Source organism: Homo sapiens, chromosome 22, assembly GCF_000001405.40.
Source record: "Homo sapiens chromosome 22, GRCh38.p14 Primary Assembly".
Lineage (NCBI taxonomy): Eukaryota > Metazoa > Chordata > Mammalia > Primates > Hominidae > Homo > Homo sapiens.
In genome coordinates this window covers 20392759-20416158 of record NC_000022.11, presented here as the reverse complement: position 1 = coordinate 20416158, position 23400 = coordinate 20392759, and the positions used below count along the sequence as shown (strand labels likewise).

The 23400-nt window shown below is 49.5% G+C and overlaps 1 protein-coding gene across 5 annotated transcripts, besides 10 other annotated features; it reads right to left on the bottom strand.

Annotated features, from left to right (window-relative positions):
• Positions 3262-3431: an enhancer, noted in NCBI's record as "experimental_62670 CRE fragment used in MPRA reporter constructs". NCBI's record gives its function as "activates a minimal promoter by MPRAs in K562 erythroleukemia cells, with activity observed for both the introgressed and non-introgressed 22:20767103 variant alleles {active_cell/tissue: K562}" and the evidence as "EXISTENCE:reporter gene assay evidence [ECO:0000049][PMID:34662402]".
• Positions 5537-5759: a silencer, noted in NCBI's record as "fragment chr22:20764690-20764912 (GRCh37/hg19 assembly coordinates)". NCBI's record gives its function as "represses an EF-1alpha promoter that drives an FKBP-Casp9 reporter gene in an ReSE screen in K562 erythroleukemia cells {active_cell/tissue: K562}" and the evidence as "EXISTENCE:reporter gene assay evidence [ECO:0000049][PMID:32094911]".
• Positions 7704-22008, bottom strand: ZNF74 (zinc finger protein 74). Of its 5 annotated transcripts, none has more exons than NR_046282.2 (6): positions 21497-22008; positions 20741-20826; positions 16469-16564; positions 15401-15527; positions 14787-14882; positions 7704-10782 (listed from the first exon to the last, which is right to left on the bottom strand). NR_046282.2 is itself a non-coding variant. In NM_001256524.2 (6 exons), exons 2-6 carry the CDS (start codon positions 21528-21530, stop codon positions 9191-9193), a joined length of 1935 nt encoding a protein of 644 aa, NP_001243453.1. In that variant the 5' UTR covers positions 21531-21596; positions 21825-22008; the 3' UTR covers positions 7704-9190. The 5 variants fall into 5 exon arrangements, 4 of the variants coding, with proteins under 4 accessions (NP_001243453.1, NP_003417.2, NP_001243454.1 ...); NM_001256524.2 differs by lacking the exon at positions 16469-16564 and having other exon boundaries at positions 21497-21596; positions 21825-22008; NM_003426.4 differs by lacking the exon at positions 16469-16564.
• Positions 10693-10862: an enhancer, noted in NCBI's record as "experimental_62657 CRE fragment used in MPRA reporter constructs". NCBI's record gives its function as "activates a minimal promoter by MPRAs in K562 erythroleukemia cells, with activity observed for the introgressed 22:20759672 or rs3747076 variant allele {active_cell/tissue: K562}" and the evidence as "EXISTENCE:reporter gene assay evidence [ECO:0000049][PMID:34662402]".
• Position 10777: a transcriptional cis regulatory region, noted in NCBI's record as "Neanderthal adaptively introgressed variant 22:20759672 (GRCh37/hg19 assembly coordinates) or rs3747076 in the experimental_62657 CRE". NCBI's record gives its function as "modulates activity of the experimental_62657 enhancer by MPRAs in K562 erythroleukemia cells {active_cell/tissue: K562}" and the evidence as "EXISTENCE:reporter gene assay evidence [ECO:0000049][PMID:34662402]".
• Positions 10960-11129: an enhancer, noted in NCBI's record as "experimental_62654 CRE fragment used in MPRA reporter constructs". NCBI's record gives its function as "activates a minimal promoter by MPRAs in K562 erythroleukemia cells, with activity observed for both the introgressed and non-introgressed 22:20759405 or rs77462388 variant alleles {active_cell/tissue: K562}" and the evidence as "EXISTENCE:reporter gene assay evidence [ECO:0000049][PMID:34662402]".
• Position 11044: a transcriptional cis regulatory region, noted in NCBI's record as "Neanderthal adaptively introgressed variant 22:20759405 (GRCh37/hg19 assembly coordinates) or rs77462388 in the experimental_62654 CRE". NCBI's record gives its function as "modulates activity of the experimental_62654 enhancer by MPRAs in K562 erythroleukemia cells {active_cell/tissue: K562}" and the evidence as "EXISTENCE:reporter gene assay evidence [ECO:0000049][PMID:34662402]".
• Positions 21828-21967: an enhancer, noted in NCBI's record as "active region_18677". NCBI's record gives its function as "activates an Ori minimal core promoter by ATAC-STARR-seq in GM12878 lymphoblastoid cells {active_cell/tissue: GM12878}" and the evidence as "EXISTENCE:reporter gene assay evidence [ECO:0000049][PMID:35858748]".
• Positions 21828-22898: a biological region, named in NCBI's record as "H3K27ac-H3K4me1 hESC enhancer GRCh37_chr22:20747551-20748540".
• Positions 21909-22898: an enhancer, noted in NCBI's record as "H3K27ac-H3K4me1 hESC enhancer chr22:20747551-20748540 (GRCh37/hg19 assembly coordinates)". NCBI's record gives its function as "activates a minimal SCP1, AML or CMV promoter by ChIP-STARR-seq in naive H9 embryonic stem cells {active_cell/tissue: H9 hESC(naive)}" and the evidence as "EXISTENCE:reporter gene assay evidence [ECO:0000049][PMID:30033119]".
• Positions 22438-22507: an enhancer, noted in NCBI's record as "active region_18676". NCBI's record gives its function as "activates an Ori minimal core promoter by ATAC-STARR-seq in GM12878 lymphoblastoid cells {active_cell/tissue: GM12878}" and the evidence as "EXISTENCE:reporter gene assay evidence [ECO:0000049][PMID:35858748]".

Genomic DNA, 23400 nt, shown 5'->3' with positions numbered 1-23400 from the left:
AAACACCAAAAGCAATGGCAACAAAAGCCAAAATTGACGCATGGAATCTAATCAAACTAAAGAGCTTCTGCACAGCAAATGAAACTATCATCAGAGTGAACAGGCAACCTACAGAATGGGAGAAAACTTTTGCAAGCTACCCATCTGACAAAGGTCTAATATCCAGAATCTACAAGGAACTTAAACAAATTTACAAGAAAAAAACAACCCCATCAAAAAGTGGGCAAAGGATATGAACAGACACTTCTCAAAAGAAGATATTTATGTAGCCAACAAACATATGAAGAAACGCTCATCATCACTGGTCATTAGAGACATGCAAATCAAAACCACAATGAGATACCATCTCACACCAGTTAGAATGGCGATTATTAAAAAGTCAGAAAACAACAGATGCTGGCAAGGCTGTGGAGAAATAGGAACGCTTTTACACTGTTGGTGGGAGTGTAAATTAGTTCAGCCATTGTGGAAGACATTGTGGCGATTCCTCAAGGATCTAGAACCAGAAATACCATTTGACCCAGTGATCCCATTACTGGGTACATACCCAAAGGATTATAAATCATTCTACTGTAAAGACACCTGTACACATATGTTTATTGCAGCACTATTTACAATAGCAAAGACTTGGAACCAACCCAAATGCCCATCAGTGATAGACTGGATAAAGAAAATGTGGCATATATACACCATGGAATACTATGCAGCCATAAAAAATAATGAACTCATGTCTTTTGCAGGGACACGGATGAAGCTGGAAGCCATCATTTTCAGCAAACTAACACAGGAACAGAAAACCAAACACTGCATGTTCTCACTTATAAGTGGCAGTTGAGCAATGAGAACACATGGACACAGGGAGGGGAGTATCACACACCGGGGCCTGTCTGAGGATGGGGGGCTGCGGGAGGGGCAGCATTAGGAGAAATACCTAAGGCATGCAGGGCTTAAAACCTAGATGACGGGTTGACAGCTGCGGCAAACCACTATGACATGTGTATACCTATGTAACAAACCTGCACGTTCTGCACATGAATCTCAGAACTTAAAGTAAAATTTAAAAAAATAAATAAAATTAAAATTAAAAAATGATTAAAGTAGGCTGGGCATGGTGGCTTAAGCCTGTAATCCTAATTACTCAGGAGGCTGAGGTGGGAGGATCACTTGAACCCAGGAGGTTGAGGCTGCAGTGATCTGCAATGGCACCACTGTACTCCAGCCTGGGTGACAGAGTGAGACCCTGTTTCAAAAAAAAAAAAAAAGAAAGAAAAAGGTTAAAACGGTAAATTTTGTTATATATTTTACCACAATAAATAGAATGGGAGTAGAGGCTGAGAGCCTGTTGAATTAGGTACTGTGGAACACTGCAAGGAAGCAAAAATAGCAAAATATCGGCCAGCAAAAGACTGAATGGGCTCCATCCTTTCAGTCTGCAGGGGCTGGGGCCCCCATGGCCCCCTGGGTTAAGGTTTCAGCATCGACTGTGAGATGTCATTTGTTCTTTTCCATTTGAAGAACACGTCAAATTGGGCTGTTAAATGGAGAAACAGAGGGGATGGTCACCCCTTCTCTCAATCCTTGAAGTCCCTGTTTTAATTTATTTTGGGTCATATTAATGATTTTAATGGCTTGGGCAGGTCCTCAGGGTCTCATCTGCCAAGACCAACAGTAAGGGACAAAGTGTGGGTTTTATTCCAATTGGAGCATCTGTCCCAGTGATAGAAATTCAAGAGCAGAAAGAACTGAGACCACTGGAATATTCTGCAAAGCTATTGCACCAGTGATCAGGCTAAGGCGGACTTGTTTGCCTTCAATCTTATGTCCCAGGGAACAGAGAGGGTTCCTCCCTTACATTTAGTGGGGTCTCTGGGGAAACAGTGTCAATTAAGGCCATAAAAGTTTGCTTAGTGCGTGGGAACCAGTGGATCCCCGTGTTTGTGAGAGCAATTGTCCTTTGGTGAGGGTCAAGGAGTATGCTGTGTCCCTAGCAAGGCTGGAGTGGTCACGGATGCTCTATTTTGGGGGATGTGATGTGGGCTCACATCTTGAGGATTTGGGTTTGGATTCTCTGTCTAACTTGTTTTAGAAGCGCCTGGACCTCTTTGGGGTCTTACCGTAAATCTGATTATCGGAGAAGCCCAGGTTGCAAAGTTGCCAATCCCAGGGTTGGGGGGTGGCCATGGAAGTTCTGAAATGGGGGCTCTTTCCTTGTCAGTAGGGTTTGGTGCTTTGGGATGAGAAGACAGGGTCCTGGAATCAATCATTCCAGGCCATCGAGGGCCTCTGTAGGAGTAGTCACATGAGGCCGGGCATGGTGGTTCATACCTATAATCCCAGCACTTTGGGAGGCCAAGGTGGGAGGATTGCTTGAGGCGAGGAGTTCAAGACCATTCTGGGCAACACAAGGAGACCTCATCTCTACAAAACTAGAAACAATTACCCAGGCATGGTGGAGTGTGTCTGTAGTCCCAGCTACTCAGGAGGCTGAGGCAGGATCACTTGAGCCCACAAGTTCGAGGCTGCAGTGAGCTGTGACTGCGGCACCACACTCCAGCCTGGGTGACAGAGGGAGATCCTGTCTCTAAAAAAAAATAAAAGAAAACAAAAGTGTAATCACTTGACTAGTAAGGGGAGCTGCACAGCCTTATAATTTGTAGGTTCTCCCCTGAAAAATAACTGCCAGATGCTTGTGTCAAGAGCCTTTCTTCTAGAACACCACGGGGTTCGGCCTCACTCCAGTTCTTCTGCCATACTTCTCCATCTCTTCCTTAAACTCTAATCCATGAATCCAGAGGAGGAGTTGGCAAGCTACAGCCTCCAGGCCAAATCTAACTCACTGTGCATTTTCTTTTCTTTTCTTTTTTTCTTTTTCTTTTCTTTTCTCTTTTCTTTCTTTTATTTTCTTCCTTTCTTTCCCTCCCTCCTCCCCTTCCCCTTCCCCTTCCCCTTCCCTTGCCCCTTCCCCTTTCTCTTCTCTTCCCTTTTCCTATCCTTTCCTTTCCTTTTTGACAGGGTCTCACTCTGTTGCCCAGGCTGGAGTGCAGTGGTGCACTGAACCACGACAGATCAATGTAATGATTGGTGTCAGCAGTAAAGGGTCTGTCTGCGGCAGGAGGGGGCCATTTTCCAAGCCACAAATGCCCAACAGAGCAAGGGAAAGTGAAACTGAAGGGTTAATTTGGCCAGGTCTGCCTGCTCTGCTTGCTTTTGGGTCATTTGGTTTTTAATTTTTTTTTCTCCTTTTTCTGTGAAGCTTAAGGGCCACAGTAGCTGAAAGCCTTGCCGCTGAATGCTGAAACTTAACCTTCCCTGGCTACTGTATAGATAACATGCATAAGTCACCATGGTGCCGGCTTCTTCAGTTGTTTTTCAGGAACTTGGGCCAGCTCCTGTCCAGTTCAAACTGGTTGAGACCACCAACCCTTCAATTGGGCCTGCACAAGTGCCCGAAAGGTGGCCTTTTGACACTGGAGGGCCAAAAACTCCGCCTTTGGAAAATGCTAATGCTACCCTCTTCTGTACACGTGTCTTGTGAAATGCCATGAACTCCAGCCATGCTCACACAGAAGGAAGCTGTTACTTATCTTCGGGGGACGAAAGACTTAAGGACTTAAAAAGGATCCACCTCCCCGATCAGTGCCCTTGTGAATAAATCTTTTCTTTTTTGCAAAACCATGTCATAGTGGTTGATTTACTGCACCAGCAGAATGAACACGAACCTGGATGGCAACAAAAGGCTGCAGGTCATGCCCAAGTATGCCGTGGGGGTGGGGAGAGGGCAGCATGTGGCCACTTCCACCGGGGAAGTGGATCCCATCTTATAAATTATTAGTTTGAGGGTCACCATGTGCTAGCATTGTGTTTGGCAGTGTTTGAAGTTAACTCAGAGCCAAAGTGAAGCAGGCACAAAAGCCAACCAGTGCTTTTCTCATGGTGTAAATCCATAATTCTTCAACACATTTTGAAATTCGGATCCAGGCACATTGCAGATACCTGTTTCAGTTTCTGTTCCCTCCCCTTGTAGAGTTGCATTTTGTGTGTGTGTGGCCTCCTCCAGGGAGTCCCAAATCCATGTCATCGTATCACCCTAGGACAATGGCTGCCTCGCTGACTTTAGGGGCCCAGGACCTAAGCTGAGAGCAGAGATGTTCTTCTTCTTTTTTAGTTTTTCGAGACGGAGTCTTGCTCTGTTGCCCAGGCTGGAGTGCGGTGGCATGATCTCGGCTCACTGCAAGCTCCACCTCCTGGGTTCAAGCGATTCTCCTGCCTCAGCCTCCCAAGTAGCTGGGACTACAGGCACCCACCACCATGCCCAGCTAATTTTTGTACTTTTAGTAGAGGAAGTGTTTCACCATGTTGGCCAGAATGGTCTTGAACTCCTGACCTCAAGTGATCCACCCACCTTGGCCTCCCAAAGTGCTGGGATTACAGGCGTGAGCCACCGCGCCTGGCCAGAGATGTTCTTCAGTGCGGCAACACTTACTAGAACCCACACTTACTAAAAAGTCCATCCGCTTTCTAGCTATGCAATCGGGTGATGGCATCCCTGGACCCTTTGGGAAGACCTACGGTAAAATATTCAGGTCCATTTATTAAAAAATAGAATTTTTTTTTTGAGACAAGGTCTTGCTCTGTCGCCCAGGCTAAAGTGCAGTGGCACAATCATAGCTCACTAGACTTGAACTCCTGGGCTCAAGCAATCCTCCTGCCTAAGTCTCCAAGCAGCTGGGATTACAGGTGCATATTACCATGCCCAACTAATTTTTTTTGTTTTTTTGGTAGAGATGGAGTCTTGCTATGTTGTCCATGTTGGTCTCGAGCTCCTGGCCTCAAGTGATCTTCCCACCTCAGCCTCCCAAAATGCTGTGTTTATAGGCATGAGCCACTGTGCCCAGCTGAGACTTTTATTGTTTTTTAAATTATTCTATGGCCCATGACACAGCCATCTGTGTCATGAACGGCTGTGCCCAGCCGTTCATGTTCTTATTGTTGAGTTTTAAGAGTCCTTTTTGGCCGGGCACGGTGGCTCACGCCTGTAATCCCAGCACTTTGGCAGGCCGAGGCAGGCGGATCACAAGGTCAGGAGATCGAGACCATCCTGGCTAACACGGTGAAACCCCGCCTCTACTAAAAATACAAAAAATTAGCTGGGCGTGGTGGCAGGTGCCTGTAGTCCCAGCTACTTGGGAGGCTGAGGCAGGAGAATGGCGTGAACCCGGGAGGCGGAGCTTGCAGTGAGCCGAGATCACACCACTGCACTCCAGCCTGGGCAACAGAGGGAGACTCCATCTCATAAAAAAAAAAAAAAAAAGAAAAGAAAAGAAAAAAGAAAAAGAAAACCTCTGGGCATTAAAAATGCTGTAACAAAGACAGAAAATGTACATGCCAAGGGGATATATATGTGTGTGTGTGTGTCTGTGCTTATGCATCTGTTTATGTGTGTATGTGTATGTCATTTATGCATCTGTGTGTCTCTCTGTGTATGTGTGTGTGTGAAATAAACCAAAGAGAATAGTGGACAAAAGACAAGAACAGACCACACATATGAAGAGAAAAACAAACGGCCAACAAGCAGGGACAAATAACATTCTTAAAGCCTCAAAATGGCAGATATAAAAATCAAGGCCGGAACGACCCCATGCTGGCCAGGGAGTGGTGACAGCGTCATGGGAGGAACATGTTCGTCCAGGGAGGAACAGCTCACAGCGTCATGTCAGAGCCGATGGGAACAGCTCACAGCAGGTCCACCAGATCAGATTCCACCCAGGAACACCAACGAGCTTCAGTGTTCATAACCTTCACCAGTTAACTGCATTTCTCAGAACGTACTCAGAGGAAATGATCAAAGATGGGAACAGAGGCCTATGTTAAATAATTATTTATAGGCACAAACAATCTTGATGTTCAATAGTAAGGGAATAGATAAATTAAGATACAACTGTAAGACAGAAAATGATGTGGCCAATTATGTCTGAAAATATTTTATAACATAGAAAATGCTTATCATAAAATGTTAAATGGAAAATGATAAAAATAATATGTAGAATATGAATCTAATTTTTTTTTTTTCTGAGACAGGGTTTCGCTCTTGTTTGTTGACCAGGCTGGAGTGCAATGGCACAATCTGGCCTCACTGCAACCTCCACCTCCCAGGTTCAAGCGATTCTCCCGCCTCAGGCTCCTGACTAGCTGTGATTACAGGCACCGGCCACCATACCCGGCTAATTTTTGTATTTTTAGTAGAGACAGGGGTTTCACCATGTTGGCCAGGCTGGTCTCAAACTCCTGACCTCAGGTGATCTGCCCACCTCGGCTTCCCAAAGTGCTGGGATTACAGGCGTGAGCCACCGCACCCAGCCTAATTTTCTTTTAAAAGAAAAAAGATATGTATACATGCATAGAAAACAACTGCAAGAAAACGCATCTAAATGTTAATAATGGTAATGATCCATGAACTGATTCTGAAGGTGTTTGTTTTGAGACAGTCTTGCTCTGTCACCCAGGCTGGAGTGCAGTGGTGCCATTATGACTCACTACAGCCTTGACCTCCTGGGCTCAAGTGATCCTCCCACCATAGCCTCCAGAGTAGCTGTGACTACAGGCACGCACCGCCATGCCCAGCTAATTTTTTTTTTTTTTTTGTATTTTTTGTAGAGATGGGATCTCCCTATGTTGCCCAGGCTGGTCTTGAACTCCTGGGCTCAAGCAATCTTGCCTTGGCCTCTCAAAGTACAGGCATGAGCCACTGAGCTGGAACCTGAGGGTCATTTTTATTATGATTTTGTGATTTTTAAAAATTTTCTGCAGTATACATATAATATTCATAATCAGGGAAAAGTTTTTACATACATAAAAGAAAAACATCAAGACTCCAATATAAAGAGGGACAAAGGGCATATTCAAATATTTTTCAAAAAGAAAGATCAATAGACTGGGTGCAGTGGCTCATGCCTGTAACCCCAACACTTTGAGAGGCTGAGGTGGGAGGATCGCTTGAGACCAGGAGTTCAATACCAGCCTGAGCAACACAGCGAGACCCCCTGCCCCCCCCAAAAATTTAGCTGGGCGTGGTGGCGCACACCTGTAGTCCCAAAGTCCCAACCACTCAGGAGGTTGAGGTGGGAGGATCACCTGAGCCAGGGAGGTTGAGGTTTCAGTGAGCTGTGATCACACCACTGCACCATGGAAATAACTTCAACATCCAACAAAAGAGTATCTAAGAGACCAGAGAGAACACTGTGCCTCTGTTTAGAAGTATAACAAGGACATGGATGAAGCTGGAAACCATCATTCTCAGCACACTATCGCAAGGACAAAAAACCAAATATCGCATGTTCTCACTCATAGGTTGGAATTGAACAATGGACACAGGAAGGGGAACATCACACACCAGGGCCTGTTGTGGGGTGGGGGGAGGCGGGAGGGATAGCATTTGGAGATATACCTAATGTTAAATGACGAGTTACTGGGTGCAGCACACCAACATGACACATGTATACATATGTAACTAACCTGCACGTTGTGCATACGTACCCTAGAACTTACAGTATAATTTAAAAAAAAAAGAAGTATAACGAGGACAGTTTAGATGCTTGAAAAAAAAATCTGCTACAAAGCTAAAGAGGGAAAAAAGATAAAAACTATAGATACACTGTGTTGAAAATAATGCAAAGTTCTACATGAACAAAGCAGAGGGTAATGTATCAAAGTGCAAAAGGCAGTTTTATTAAGAATTATGGGGATTTTATTTTTCAGAAGTCCACATTTTCTGAAGTGTGGTTATTTTGCCTGCATAATTTAAAAAGCATACTGAAAGCATTTCATAAACGATAGCACTCCGTATAAAGTATGATCACCAAGAGGGCAGCTTATTCTTGCTTAGGACTAAGTAGAAATAACATTCATTCAAGATTAACTCTGTCTTCCTGTCTCTGAAGAGTGTTGGGACAGGGAGAGCCGCCTTTTCCAGGGTTTGCAAAACAGCTCCATGTGGGACCACCATGGAGCCCGTCTCCCTGGGCTTCAGCTTCCCCTCTCCAGTGGGTGCTGGGAGGGGCTTCTTCTGTGACCTGGGCTGGTGACTGGTGCTACATAGTGAGAAGCCCTGCAGGGCAGCCTCACCAGCCCAGGGTGGCCCTGCCCAGCCCTGGTCAGTGAAGAGGAGCTTCCAGACACACCCATCCTGATGTTGTGCCCATCTTCCCTGAATGCACTGGGCACCTGCCTGGTAGCTCCCAATTTCTCACTAGGGGCTAAATGGCAAGAGGTGATGTTGGCATGTTAGGATCTGGCTACAATGATGCTGGGCCGTGCTGTGACAGCTGTGGGAATGCCCCTGACTGCACTGTCACTAAACACACAGCTCTGCAGTAGAGCTATTTACATGAGTTAAGTCCAGGAAATTCACTTTTTCCAAATGCCCACCACCCAAGATTATTCTCCTCTCTAGCAATATAATAATGTTCACTGGAAAGTGATGCTAGTCATAATTCTTGTTTTATTATTATTCTGAAAATAATAGTTTATGGAGGAAACTCCTGATTAAAGCCGTGTCAGGAGCCCGTCCGAGGATACAACAGTTGATATACCTCCTTTTAATTTCACACAGGGTCTTGCTTTGTCACCCAGGCTGCAGTGCAGTGCTGTGAATCATGGCTCACTGCAGCCTTGACCTCCTAGGCTCAAATGATCCTCCCACCTCAGCCTCCTGAGTAGCTGGGACCACAGGGACATGCCGCCACATCTGGCTAATTTTTGCATTTTTTGTAGAGACGAGGTCTCACCATGTTGTCCAGGCTGGTCCTAGACTCCTGGGCTCAAGTGATCCCCTTGCCTTGGCCTCCCACAGTGTTAAGATTACAGGTGTGAGCCATGGCACCCAACGATATCCCTTCTTTTTATTGGCAAGAAAGATCTTTCCCCTTGTCAACAACTTCCAGGCCCATCAAGGAAAACAGGTGGCAAGACTACCTCAAATGACTCTCAACACTCCTCCTGGAGTGTGGCCCTTCTGGGGAGGTGACTGACTTTAACTAGAGGAGGCACCCTGGCATGCAGACCTGATGGGGGTGATAAGGCAAGGCTCCCACACCTGGAGGAAGGTGGTCTGGATCTAGGAGCCAGGGAGGACCAGGGTGCTTTCCTTGTTGAGTAGCTCAGAAAGCAGCTACTGACACCAAAGCACATCATGTTAGTTTCGAGGTTTGCTCCCCAGGGAGAAATTCCTGCCAGCTCTGGGGGGAACCACGCACAAGAGCTTTGCCACATCCAGCGCGTCGATGGGATCCACGTCCCTCAGTCCAGCATCCCCTGCACCCAGCAGGCTGCCAGGCACGTAGTATGTGCTGAGCAGGTGTTTGTTGAACTGGATGGCCAAGGGCTTCCCCTCGCTGTGCAGCCTCTGGTGCTCAGTGAGGTGCGAGCTCCAGTTGAACATCTCCCCACATTTCTCACACTTAAACGACTTCTCCCCGGAGTGGATTTTCTGATGTTTAATGAGACAGTGGTTCTGGCTGAAGGCTCTGCCGCACTCGCTGCACTTGTAGGGCTTCTCACCGGTGTGGATGCGCTGGTGCACGATGAGGGACGAGTGGCAGCTGAAGGCCTTCCAACACTGGCTGCAGTCGAAGGGCTTCTCGCCTGTGTGGATGCGCCGGTGCACGATGAGGTAGGCGTGGGAGCTGAAGGCTTTGCCGCACTCGTTGCACTTGAAGGGCTTCTCGCCGCTGTGGATGCGCCGGTGCACGAGCAGGTACGCGTGGCAGCTGAAGCCCTTCCCGCAGTCGGCGCACTTGAAGGGCTTCTCGCCCGTGTGCGTCCTCTGGTGGAGGGTGAGGCGCGAGCGGCTGTTGAAGGCCTTCTCGCAGTCGCTGCACTTGAACGGCTTGTCCCCGCTGTGGATCTTCTCATGCACGGTGAGGGATGAGTGGCAGGTGAAGGCCTTGCCGCAGGAGCCGCACTGGTAGGGCTTCTCGCCCGTGTGGATGCGGTGGTGGCGTGTGAGGTGTGTACGCTGGTTGAAGGCCTTGCCGCACTCGCCGCACCGGTAGGGCTTCTCGCCGGTGTGCACCCGCAGGTGCATGCTGAGCAGCGAGCTGCAGCTGAAGGCCTTCTCGCAGGCGCTGCACTTGTAGGGCCGCTCGCCCGTGTGGATGCGCTGGTGCACGTTGAGGGACGAGTGGCAGCTGAAGGCCTTCCCGCACTCGCCGCAGAAGAAGGGCTTCTCGCCGGTGTGGATGCGCCGGTGCTCCAGAAGGTTGGTGCTCCAGGTGAAGGCCTTGCCGCATTCATCGCACTTGTAAGCCTTCTCCCGGCTGTGCCAGCGCCGGTGCAGCGTGAGGGAGGAGCTCTGGCGGAACGCCTTCCCGCACTCGCCGCACACGAACTCGCCCTCCCCGGCGCCCGCCCCGCGCTGCCGGCGCACCTGGGGGAACTTTTCTGGCTCACTTGGCGTGGAGGCGTTTTCCCCTGCACACAGTCTCGCGGGGGCCTTGGTTCTGCCCTCAGTGGCCTGGACGTTCTTGCGTGTGTCCAGCAAGGGTCCCCCCTCGGGAACGCGTTGCTGGGCGAAGAGGGGACACCTGAGGGGGAATTCCTCTACAGGGACGTCCCAGACCATGGCAGGTGCGGGCGCCCAGGGCGCAGCCTGACTCCTCTGCAGAGCACCTGCCTGGCGCCCCCACGCCTGCGCCCCGCCGAGGGGCCGCTCCATGATGGGCTCCTGGGCCGGTTCTTCTTTGCAAATGCCCTGCTGTTGAGAGGGCACCGCCTTCAGCTCCCATTCTGTAAGATATTGAAAATGATTTTCTGTGAGCAAGCGGAAACCTGGCCTAGAATTCAGATTTGAGAATTGGCCTGGAGATGCAGATAAGCCCAGAAAAGAGAGGAGAGGCCACCAGGGCCAAGGCTGGAAGGTGCAGGCAGAGAGAAGGGAGCGCCCAGGATGAGATGGGCAAGCAAGAGCGGGAAGAAGGGAGAGGAAGAACACGGAAGGAGCTACCAGAGAGCAAAGACCGGGAGAGGCGGAGAAGCCAAAGGAATCCCGGAAGGAACAGCTACAAGCACCAAGGGGGCTGAGAAAGGGGCAAGCTTGGGAGCTGTTGATGAGGATTACACTCATTCACGGACACGTCGGCTGACCGACTGCTCTGTATCAATACCATGGCAGGTGCTCGCAATACACAGGACAAATACATGTTTTTTGTTTGTTTGTTTGTTTTGAGACCGAGTCTCGCTCTGTCGCCCAGGCCGGAGTGCAGTGGCGCGATCTCGGCTCACTGCAAGCTCCGCCTCCCAGGTTCACGCCATTCTCCGGCCTCAGCCTCCCGAGTAGCTAGGACTAACAAATGAATTAAAAATTGTCTGTGGTGCCAAAAGGAAAAAAGGGCTCCCCACACCCCAGCGCTTCCCTTTAGAACACTGGGAATTGCAAATGCTTTCTCTGTCTCGAGACGCATGCAAACCTTTTCAGAAGCAAAATGAGCCTAGTCCAAGAGTCGAGTCCAAGATGTAACTTCCTGCTTGTCAAAAAGCTACAAGAGGCTGGGCGCGGTGGCTCATACCTGTAATCCCAGCACTTTGGGAGGTCAAGGTGGCGGATCACTTGAGCCCAGATCAAGACCAGCCTGGGTAACACAGTGAGACCCCTCTACAAAAAATACAAAATTAGCCAGGAATGATGGTACCTGTCTATAGTCCCAGCTACTCAGGAGGCTGAGGTGGGAGGATCACCTGAGCCTAGGGAGGTTGAGGCTTCGAGCTATGATCATGCAACCGCACCCCAGCCTGGGCAATAGAGGGATACCCTGTCTCAAAAAACAAACAAACAAACAAAACCCAAAAAGCTGTACTCTTCCTTTAGGTGAAGACAGTTGCCCTGTGTGCTGGGTTGGATGTGTCTCCTCTGTCAAAGGGGGAGGTTTCTTTCTCTCCTGTACACCACATCTGGTTAAACACTTATTCAATAAGAAGGCTTTCTTTCTTTTCTATCTCTATAGCAAGGTTTTCTGAGCTGGCAGGAGATTTTATTTCTAATTCTGTCCTCCCCAGGCTTAAAAGGGAGCAGTCTAGTGCAGCGGGCAGAGCTGCATGGTGGTGCTGCCTGTGGCCCCAACACATGCAGAAGAGCAGGGCAAGTGGAACTGGCCATGGCACACATGGCAGGTAGCCAGGTGGAGAGTGAACAGCATGTGCAGAAGCTCAGAGGTGAGACAGTAAGATGAAGACAAGACACGCAGAGGCAGGAAGGCTGAGAGGTGACCCTGGCAAGGTGGATGGGTTCGAGGTGACCAGATGCCTGACTCAGAGGGCAGCCGGGGAAGAAAGGCCTTTTGCACAGAGGGTGATGTGATCATATGGTGTCTTGACGGGGGGCGGGGGAAGCAGAGGGCGGGGACACAGTCTCGCTCTGTTGTCCAGGCTGCAGTGCAGGGGTGCAATCACAGCTCGCTGCAGCCTCCAACTCCTGGGCTCAAGTGGTCCTCCTGCCTTGGCCTCCCAAAGTGCTGGGATTAGATGTGTGAGTCCCTGTGCCTGGCATAATGGTTTGTCTTGAAGGTGGCTTTGGTGGTGTGTAAGGTGGTTGGAGCCAGCAGTTAGGGAGGCCAGTTAGGGAGGCCATCTGAATAATTCAGGTGAAAAATGGCAACTTCAGACTGGAACCAAGGCTGTGAAAATGAACAGGAAGCAGCAGATCTAAGAGCCATTTAGGTGCTAAAACTGATGGCCCTAGCTGTTGACTGAAGGTGGCAAGAGAGGAAATGGGGGAGAGGATGAGACCTCAGCAAACACCCAAGCCTGGGTGGATGGTGGAAGCTTTTATAAAGGAGGAGGAAGGGCCAGTTCCAAGTCTGGTTTTAGACATGCAAGCAGAGGCCCACGAGATGGTCAGTGACACAGGGCTGCAGCTCAGCTGGTGTTGCTATAGTGTAGACCACATCCACACCAAGTGAGAGGTAAGAGTCTAGGGAAGTTGCACAGAGCAGAGAGAAGAGGCCCAGGCCAGAAAAAAGTTGTTTTGGCAGCAATAGGGCCAACAACACAGCAGGGCACATTCATCTAAGGGATACTGTGCAATCAGTAAACATCACGTGAGGACGCTCACTATGCCATGGCCAGTGTGGTAGCCAGACTCCGGCGTGAGTGCTGTGCTTCCGAGGGTGCATAAGGCTTTATTTATTTATTTGTTTGAGATGGAGTTTAGCTCTGTCACACAGGCTGGAGTGCAATGGTGCGATCATGGCTCACTGCAACCTCTGCCTCCCGGGTTCAAGCAATTCTCCTGCCTAAGCCTCCAGAGTAGCTGGGATTACAGGTGCTCACCACCACGCCCAGCTAATTTTTTTTTTTTTTTTTTTTTGAGATGGAATTTCACTCTTGTTACCCAGACTGGAGTGCAATGGCACGATCTCAGCTCACCGCAACCTCTGCCTCCTGGGTTCAAGCGATTCTCCTGCCTCAGCCTCCCAAGTAGCTGGGATTACAGGCATGCACCACCATGCCCAGCTAATTTTGTAATTTTAGTAGAGACAGGGTTTCTCTATGTTGGTCAGGCTGGTCTCGAACTCCTGACCTCAGGTGATCTGCCTGCCTCGGCCTCCCAAAGTGTTGGGATTACAGGTGTGAGCCATCACGCCTGGCCACATGTAGCTTTAGAAGTCTATCCGCACACAGAGGAAGGGCCCAGAGGAATCAGTGACATGGTCAGTTATTAGAGAACCGTCATCTCTGGGTGGAAAGATTATGCAGGATTTCAGTAACCTTTCAGCCTCATTTTCAGTATATTCATATATGAATCAAACAAAAATATGAATTTTTTGAAACCTGTAATCTTGTTAAAGAGGACAAAGCAAGCATCAGAGGCTGGGGTGAGAAATAAAGACCAGAAAGCTGGGGCTGCAGCCACTGTTGCAGGTTGGGGCTGGGTGGTATGTGGCAGTGGAGGGGGATGGAGGAGGGGCTGCCTTCCCCGACCCCCGTGTTCTGTGCTCCACAGCTTATCGGCTGCCTTTCCCACAGAAAGGTGTTTCTCGAGCTTTCTAGACACCTAACATGCTCAGCAGTCACTGTCCAATAAATTAAGCCGAATTTACCACTTATTTATCAACCAACTCAGAAGAGAAGTCTACAAAAAGAATGTTGGAGAAGAAAAGCAGACTACCTTCTGCTCAACACCCACCCCAGTCCCCTTTCCCTTACGGAGGGCTGCCATCTTGGCCACAGCCTGGAAGCCCTCGCTGACGTTGACCCTGACCCTGACGCTGATGCTGACCCTAATGCTGATGCTGACTCTGACCCTGACGCTGATGATGGCCCTGACACTGATGCTCACACTGGCCCTGATGCTGATGCTCACGCTGGCCCTGACACTGATGCTGGCTCTGACCCTGACGCTGACGCTGGCCCTGATGCTGATGCTCATGCTGACCCTGACACTGACCAACGCCAGCTGCCCCTTCCCTGGTGGCCCCCTGCCCCCAATCCCACACCCCCGGCTGCCCAGCCAACACCAATGGCTCAATATTTCTATTCCTGCCTCCCCATCCCCATCAGCAGGTGACCATTTGGTCCCAGTGGCCAGGTTTGTTCCCTGTTGTATCCCAGAACAGGTCTCAGCACACAGGCAGTGCTCAGTACGTGCTGAAGGGAGGCAGGCAGGAGGGTCTGGCGGGGGACCTGAAAAGGGGAGATGGAGCCGGGGCAAACTGAGGGAGGAAAATAGGGGCCATAGGAGGAGGTGCCACCAGGGGTGCTGGGGCTGGCACCCTTCCACCTGTGCCTCTGCTCACCTGGACAGGGCCCTCTGGGGACTTCCCTCTGCATGCTCCATGGCTCCTCGCCTCGTTCCAGATGAGAGATCACATCTGGCTTGTGCAGTGGAGGTCCTGCTCGTGGAGAGAAAGTGGGCTGGGCATGCTGCAGCTCTCCAGGCCCAGTCGACCTTACAGGCCGCCCCCTAACAAGGACAATGCCTGTGAAGTGGACACCCTCTCTGGGAACAGGAGGTCCTCTGGGCCAAAAGCAGTGAGGGTCTCAGACTGGAACCCAAATCCCAGTGTATACTCTGAAGACCCCACGTGTGCTGACGTCCTTACTTCATTGCTTGAGGACTGTTCCAGAGCCAGCTGGGCTCCAGGGTCCCACCTTCTTCTCTTCTCTCCCTGCCCCTATCCCAGGACCAGGGGAAACACCAAGCAAGGATGCTACCAGCTCCCACGCTGTCCCTTGGGGACTTCTGGCGTGGCCGAGGCCCCTGGCCATGAGTGCCCCAAGGCACAGGCCTTGCTTCCCACCCCATGATATATCTGGCACCAGGGCCGGCACTGAAGGGATTCTCCTTAATATCTACCATGTAGAAGAAGGCTGACAGCCGACGCCCAGCCTGGGGCTGGGGGGATTTTACCTAGGGCAAGAAGGTTCTGGTAGTTCTCCAACATCACATCCCGGTACAAGGCCCTCTGAGGGGAGTCTAGTTGACCCCACTCCTCCTGGGTGAAGTCCACAGCCACATCCTTGAAACTCACCGATTCCTGAAATGACATATAGGTTCTCACCCAGGACTGATTCTGTGTCCATGGTTCCAAAGGAGCCAGAGATTGATTAAGGACCCTACAAGTAAAGGGTTAACCTCAGGTGACCTTCTCCCATGCCAGAAGGTTGTGCTGTAGACACTGACCATGACTGAATTCGGGGACCAGGGGCAGGGAGGGGGGCTGGGAATTGGCATGCATTCCCACACCACCTTCTAGATTGGGAAAGCAGGTCTGAATAGACACCACAGGGCCCTGGCAACTTGCGGTGGGACCCAGGGGCTGTACATGGCTGTTGTATCAGGCTCTAAGTCCTGGGTGAGATGCTATGCTTCCTGGAGTCAAGAATTTCAAACTTAAAAATTTGAGAGAATATTAATAGTACAAAAATCCCAGCAACTCTATTCAAAGCTCAGTAACGCAAAAGGATCCGATCCCAGACTAGAAACTGTTATTACACTCTAAGGAAGGAAACCTTGTATATATCAGCAAGTTCTGTGCCCCAAGGGACTAAGAGAGGCTACCTGCAGTCCTCACCTGACTGCCTTCCAATCCTTCCTGCCTGCTCCCCCTGGGCCTGGGCATCCTGGCCACCACCCAACTCCAGACTTGCTTTGATCCTTGAAAGGATCAAATAGATGCCAAGTAATTTCACTGCATCCCAGAACAAATCCCAGAAACAAGGAATTCCAAAAACCTACTCAACAAAGTAAAATTCACAATGTCCAGCATCCAATCAAATAACTAAAAGGTGAAAAATATTAATGAAATCAGAGGAATTAAGAGTATATTAGAACAGTATGTGTTTACCTCAAAAGAAGTCATTAAGGGAGGAAATGAGAAACAAAAAAGACATAAGACATAGAAAACTAATAGCAAGGCCGGGTGGGGTGGCTCACGCCTATAATCCCAGCACTTGGGAGGCCAAGGTGGCAGATCACCTGAGGTCAGGAGAATTGCTTGAACCCAAGAGGTGGAGGTTGCAGTGAGCCAAGATTGCGCCACTGCACTCCAGCCTGGGTGACAAGAGCCAAACTCTGTCAAAAGAAAAAAAAAAAAAGGACATGTAAATCCAACCATATTAATAATTACACTAAATGCGAATAGTTTAAACACTCCAATTAAAAGGTGGAGATTGTCAAACTGAATTCAAAAAGCAAGCTACAGAAACCCACTTTACATACAAAGATAGGTTAAAAGTGATAGGATAGAAAAAGATAAACCCTGCAAATACTAATTTAAAAAAAAAAAGCTCAAGTGCCTATAGTAATAGCAAAGTAGATTTCAGAGAGAGGACTATCAGAGACAAAGAGAATATTACATAATGATAAAACAGTTAATTCATTAAGAACTCATAGCAATCCTAAATATAAATGTATCTACTAAAAGAGCTTCAAAATACATAATGCAAAAACTGACAGAACAATTAAAAAACACCATCATTCAACTTGACTTAACTGATATTTACATAACACTCTAACCAACAAAGGCATAATACATATTTTTTCAAGGGCATGTGGAACATTTACCAAGATAAACCACACTCTGGGAAATAAAATAAATCTTGGTAGACTTGAAAGACTTTAAATCACACAAAGTTCATTCTTTGATGACAATAGAATTAAATCAGAAATCCATAATAGAAAGTTATCTGGAAAATGCCCTAAATATTAGGAAATGAAACAACACATTCTGAAATAACATATGGCTGAAGAATACATCACTAGGGAAATTAGAAGCTATTTTGAGCTGAATAAAAGTGAAAATGTGACATAACAAAAGTTGTAGGATATAGTTGAGGCAGTGCTTAGAAATTTACAACGCTGAATGCTATATGAGGAAAAAAGGTATCAAATCAATATCTATGTTTCAATCTTAAGACACTAAAGTAAGTAAAGTAAGTTTCAATCTTAAGACACCAAGGAGATAATAAGGATCAGAAATCTCTGAAATGGAAAACAGAAAATAGAGAAAAATCAATAAAACAAAAAAATTGTTTTTTGAAAAGATCAATAAAATTGACAAACATATATTTACTATATGGCTCAGCAATTTCACACCTAGGTATTTATGCAAGAGAAATTAAAATGCACAGCCATACGTGTACTCAAATATTTATAGCGGGTTTATTTGTAATAGCAAAAGCCTATGAGTAACCTAAATGTCCATCGGCTGGTGAATGGATAAGCAAACTGCGGAGCAGTTTGCTCCATCCAATGGAGCAATGGGATGAAATGTATACCCCTCACCTCAAATTCTTATGTCTCAATGCTTGGTAACTCCGAGAGAGGTTTTTTTTTTTTTTTTTTTTTTTTGAGACATGGTCTCACTCTGTCACCCAGGCTGGAGTACAGTGGTGCAATCTCAGCTCACTGCAACCTCTGCCTCCTGGGTTCAAGAGATTCTCCTGCCTCAGCCTCCTGAGTAGCTAGGACTACAGGCGAGAACTAACGCCCAGCTAAATTTTTGTATTTTTAGTAGAGACAGGGTTTCACCATGTTGGCCGGCTGGTCTTGAACTCCTGACCTCAAGTGTTCCACCCACCTCAGCCTCCCAAAATGCTGGGGTTACAGGCGTGAGCCACTGCACCCGGCCTGGAGAGAGGTTCTTTAAAGAAGTAATTCAGTTAAAATGAATTCAATGCAGTGGGCCTTGATCCAATATAACTGGTGTCCTCATAAGAAGAGGAAATTTGGACACAGACATAGAAGAGGTAAGACCATGTGAAGATGCGGGGAAAAGGTGGCCATCTACAAGCCAAGGAGAAGCCTCAGAAGAAATCAACCCTGCTGACACCTTGATTTCAGATTTCTTGCCTCTGGAACTGTGAGGAAATACATTTCTGTCATTTAAGCCCTCCTGCCATACTTTGTATGGCAACCCTAGCAGACTAATACAAATGGAATATTACTCACCAATAAAAAGGAACAAACTACTGATTCACACAACAATATGGATAAACTCAAAAGCATATGCTAAGCGAAATAAAGCAGAGACAAAAGACCACATAATATAAATTCCATATGAAATCCTTAAAGAGGAAAATCTACAGCAAAACTATAGTGGTTACCAAGGGGAGAGGGGAGACCACTGAATGCACAGGGGCATGAGGACATTTTTGGGTCATGGAAACGTCCCATATCATGATTGTGGTGCTGGTTACACAACTGTATACGTTTGCTCAACCTCATCAAATTGTATACTTAAAATTGTACAACTGTGCTGTATATAAATTACACCTCAATAAAACCTTACCCCCCAAAACACTGGATTTCAGATGAGGAGGTAGAGATGAGGACAAATGCTGAGAACACACCCCTAACTGAGGCATGCAGGCATGAAGGATGACGATAGCCGAGGGAAGGAGAAAATGGGCTGAAACAAGGCTCCAAGCCAGGTGTGGGGGCACACACGTTGGTCCCAACTACTTAGGAGGCCGAGGTGGGGGATTTGCTTGAGCCCAGGAGTTGAAGGCTGCAGTGAGCTATGATTGTGCCACTGCACTCCAGCCTGGGCGACAGAGCAAGACTCTGTCTCAAAAAAAAAAAAAGAAAAAGAAAGAAAAACAAAAAAATAGCTCCACAGGTATCAGAATATGGTGTTGGCCAGTGAGGCTGTCAGAGGCTACATGGCTTCAGTGTGGGGAGCAAAACCAGCAAGAGTAGGGTAGGGTCTGAGGCCCGCACAGGCCTTTTTGATGGGTATTTCTGGCCACTGGGAGAAGTCCATGTCTAATGTGTCATCATTCTGCAGGGAAAGGAATAAAAAACCCAGACAGTATGCATTGGAATCAGATGCTGATGTGGTAATGACACTAGCAGAGAAGTCAGAACAGACCACACAAGATGTCCCAGGAGACAGAACAACTTGAACTGTGAGTGAGAATGAGACTGTCAAGAGAAAATGCCAAAGCTGATGTGTACTCAGGAGAGTCAACTGGTTATTCAAAGATCTAACAAGCTAATATTTTAGGAATAGGAATAACACATGCATGAGGGCCCTACCACCTAGACGGAGCTGCACAGACACATACAGACATACATACATGCACACACATTTTTTTTTGCTGAACCATTTGAAGGTAAGTTGCAGACATCATGATGTCTCACTCTACAGTCTTCAGCTTGTATCTCCTGTGGATATTCTCTTACATAATCACAGTACTATTATCACATGCAATAAATTTCATATTGATACAATATGACCTAAGATACAGCCCATTTTCAAATTTCCTCTTGTCCCAAACTGCCCTTTATCAATTTTTTTGGATCTATCCCCTAAGCAAGGAACATGCATTGCATTTGACTGTCAAGTTTCTTGAGGACTATAAAGCATTGTGACACACTACAGAAGTGAGGCACAGCTCACAATACACGTTTTGCAGCTGTTTCTAGCTGGCTATAATCTGCCATCACCTCTTTTGAGTGGCAGACTGACAAAATCACAAAATGCTAAAAAAAAAACAAAAACCCAAAGACCCCTTATTCCTCCACATCTTTCACTCTACTGTGCTCTCTTTGTCAACTGCACCCTTCTAAATACAACCATGGGGTGAGGTGGTTGCGGTAGAAAAACAAAATGAGGAACAGAGTTCACAGTCTGTAAAAGGAGGGATCTGGGTCCCATTTGGCTGCAGAAGTTCCCAGGGCCAATTCCTTGCTGAGCCCCCAGATTCTCTAAATCTCCAGGACTCTCCATGAAGGCCCCATGCCAGGGGCTGGGTACAGAGGAAAGCACACAGGGATGTGTCCCCTACCGCCACTCTTAACCAAGTGCTGCAATCCAGCCCTTCCTGAGCTGCTCCACGTGCCCCTGTCTGATTCCAGTCCCAGTAAACCAACCGTGCAAACATCCTGCACCAACCCCTGGCCAGCACGTGGATAGGCAAAGCGACCCCATGTGAGCCGTCAACTACTTTCTCAGATTCCACTAAAACCACTCCTCAGAGCTCCCAGCACAGCGCTGGGCAGAGAGATCCCCAGCAACTGACCCACTGAATTGGACTGGGCGAGACATTCAATAGAGCACATCTCGAGGGCACACCTCGGGCAACATCTGGACTCTTCACTTGGAGCTGTTCCCACTGCCCAGAGCTTCCTGAGGACTGGCCAGCAGGTACCCGGGTGAAGGTCTGTGGAAGGCTGACGATCCAGGGCTGGGGAGGGAATGTGCCAACCCTCTTCATAAAGAAGGAAGAACACACAGCCACTCACCTTGGACCTGGCTTCGGGAAGACCCCAACCCGATATATCCTCGAGATTCTCTTTCAGGGAAAGAGCAGGATCCTGAGAGGAAAGAGCTGGCGAAGGAGAAATGAGTCAAGGTCACGGCTACCAGGCTCACGGCTGAGCTTAAAGCCCACCTGTCGTGGCACAAGTGAGAATCAGAGAGGAGGCAGAACCTGCCAGCAAGGCCAGGTGGGGAACGAGCCCCAGTAGCTAGCACCAACAGAAACAGCATCGAGGAATAATCTGCCTGTGTCTCAGACACTCCAATTCATGACGAAAAGAGCTGCTACCCCCAATCAAGCACGTCTGAGTGGGAACAAATGATTGGGCGCGGGGAAGAAAGAAGCAGGAGGCCAGGAGCGATGGCTCACGCCTGTAATCCCAGCACTTTGGGAGGCCGAGGCGGGCGGATCGCTTGAGCTTAAGACCAGCCTGGGAAACATGGCAAAACCCCGTCTCTACTAAAAATACAAACATTAGCCGGGCGTGGTGGCGCGCGCCTGCAATCCCAACTACTTGGGAGGTTGAGGCGGGAGAATAGTTTGAACCCGGGAAGCAGAGGTTGCAGTGAGCGGAGATCAAGCCATTGCACCACTCCCGCCTGGGTGACAGAGTGAGATTCCATTTAAAAAAAAAAAAAAAGATGCTGGATGCTTCTGGGAAACTGGCCTGATCTCTCTGAGTGTCAATATCCTCAAGTGCAAATCCACAGACATACTGACTACAAGAGTGAAGCTGTACCTGTCTTCTCGGGCTCCGGGGCAGGGATCTCCATGGCCTCCACGGCAGCCTCCCCAGGAGGAGTGGGCAGCTGTGTAGCCTCCAGGATCCAGGGCAGGCCCTGAAGAGCGAGTACTGCTCCTGGGGCTGAGGGGCCTGCAGCGGAGCCCCGCGGGGCGGCCACGCGCTCACAGCTGCACGATCACACGCACGGAGCCCCCTCCCCGCGCCCGGCTGAGGTGGGGTTCAGGCCGGCTCCGCAGATACCCACTCCCCACACCAGGCTCAGCCCCATGCTCGGCGCACTCACGCCCCGGCACACCCCCGCCACACGCTCCTCCCGGCGAACCCGCGCTCGGAGACCAGGGCCAGGCCTAAGGTTCCGCGGCCAGGAGCCATCGGACGCGGAGCGACCAGCGGACAGGTCCCGAAGCGGACAGAGACCGCCGACGGTCTGAGGGACCGGCAAGTGGACAGACCGGACTCCCACAAAAGGACTGCGACTGCCACAAAGAGCAGCAGGCGGCCGCTGCGGGAAAGCGCGCCTGCGCGAAATAGGCGCAAACTACACCTCCCGGGAGCGTTTGCGCCGCGCAGGCGTCAGACTCCATTTCCTAGAGCGAGTTCGGGCCGGTGCTTGCGTCCCGACGCGAACGAGTATCTAGCACATCCTTCTAGGAAATGTAGTTCCTGGGCCCACAGCCGGGAGCTCCGGCACCCACCATGCTCTTGCGGGCGGATGTCGCTGTGTATCTCCGTGTGCGGATCAGTGTAGTGCCGCTGCATGGGTGTCTAATTGCGAGGATACTGGGAGGGCGGTGTCCAGGAACTAGAATTTGTCCTGTTAGTTCGTCCACGTCCCCACGTAGCTGGGAGTCGGGTGGGTTCCTGCCCACATCTGTCTGCAGGAAAGACTCAAGCCCCTGGTCTTACGGATATTGGGAGTGGTGGGTCTGGCCTCGAGGGGTTTTCCAGGGGCCCTGCCCCCACTCCCCCTTCTCGAGCCACATATCTGAGGCCCATGGGCGCGGGTCCCCAGAGGTGGGAGAGCCTTGGCCTAGTCCCCCCAGAGGGTCCTGTCCACAGTTCACCCCTGGGGCGGGAAAGGAAGGTCTGGGTGGCGGCCCAGTCCTGGCGGCACAGAGCTCTGCCATGAACACAGTGATGACGCCAGCGACAGAAACATTGAATATGTACTGAGCACCAACCAAACGCCAGGCCTACTTCAAGAGCTTGGAGTACATTTTTCTGGCAGAATGCTCACAGCAGTCCAGGGAGGTTTGCTAACTACTGTCATCCCATTTGGGAGATGAGGAAGTTGTGGTACAGGTGCGTGGGGTAACGTGTCGCAAATCACACAGCCAGAAGTAGGAATCCAGCACCGAAGTGCATTGCCACATTCCTACTGAGAGGTGGTCCGGGGTGGTGCACACTCCAAACCCTTCAGCCTCCCACCTTAACCGCAGCTTAGGCTTGGCCACAGGCTCTCACGTGACACCTGTCCACTGCCCACATCAGCACAGCTGTGCCCAGACCTCCCCTGCCCAGGGCAGCGCCCGTGTTTGATTTTGTTTTGAGACTGGGTCTCACTCTGTCGCCCAGGCTGGAGTGCAGTTGCACAATCACGGCTCACCGTAGCCTCAGTCTCTCGGGCTCAAACTATTCTCCCACCTCAGCCTCCGGAGTAGCTGGGACTTACAGACATGCACCACCACGCCCGGTTAATTTTTATATTCAGCGCCCATTTTTAATAGCAACCCAGTGAGAGGGGACAGCGTGCTGGCAGTCCTCACAGCCCTTGCTCGCTCTCGGCGCCTAGTCGGCCTTGGCGCCCACTCTGGCCGCGCTTGAGGAGCCCTTCAGCCCACCGCTGCACTGTGGGAGCCCCTTCCTGGGCTGGCTGCGGCCGGAGCCGGCTCCCTCAG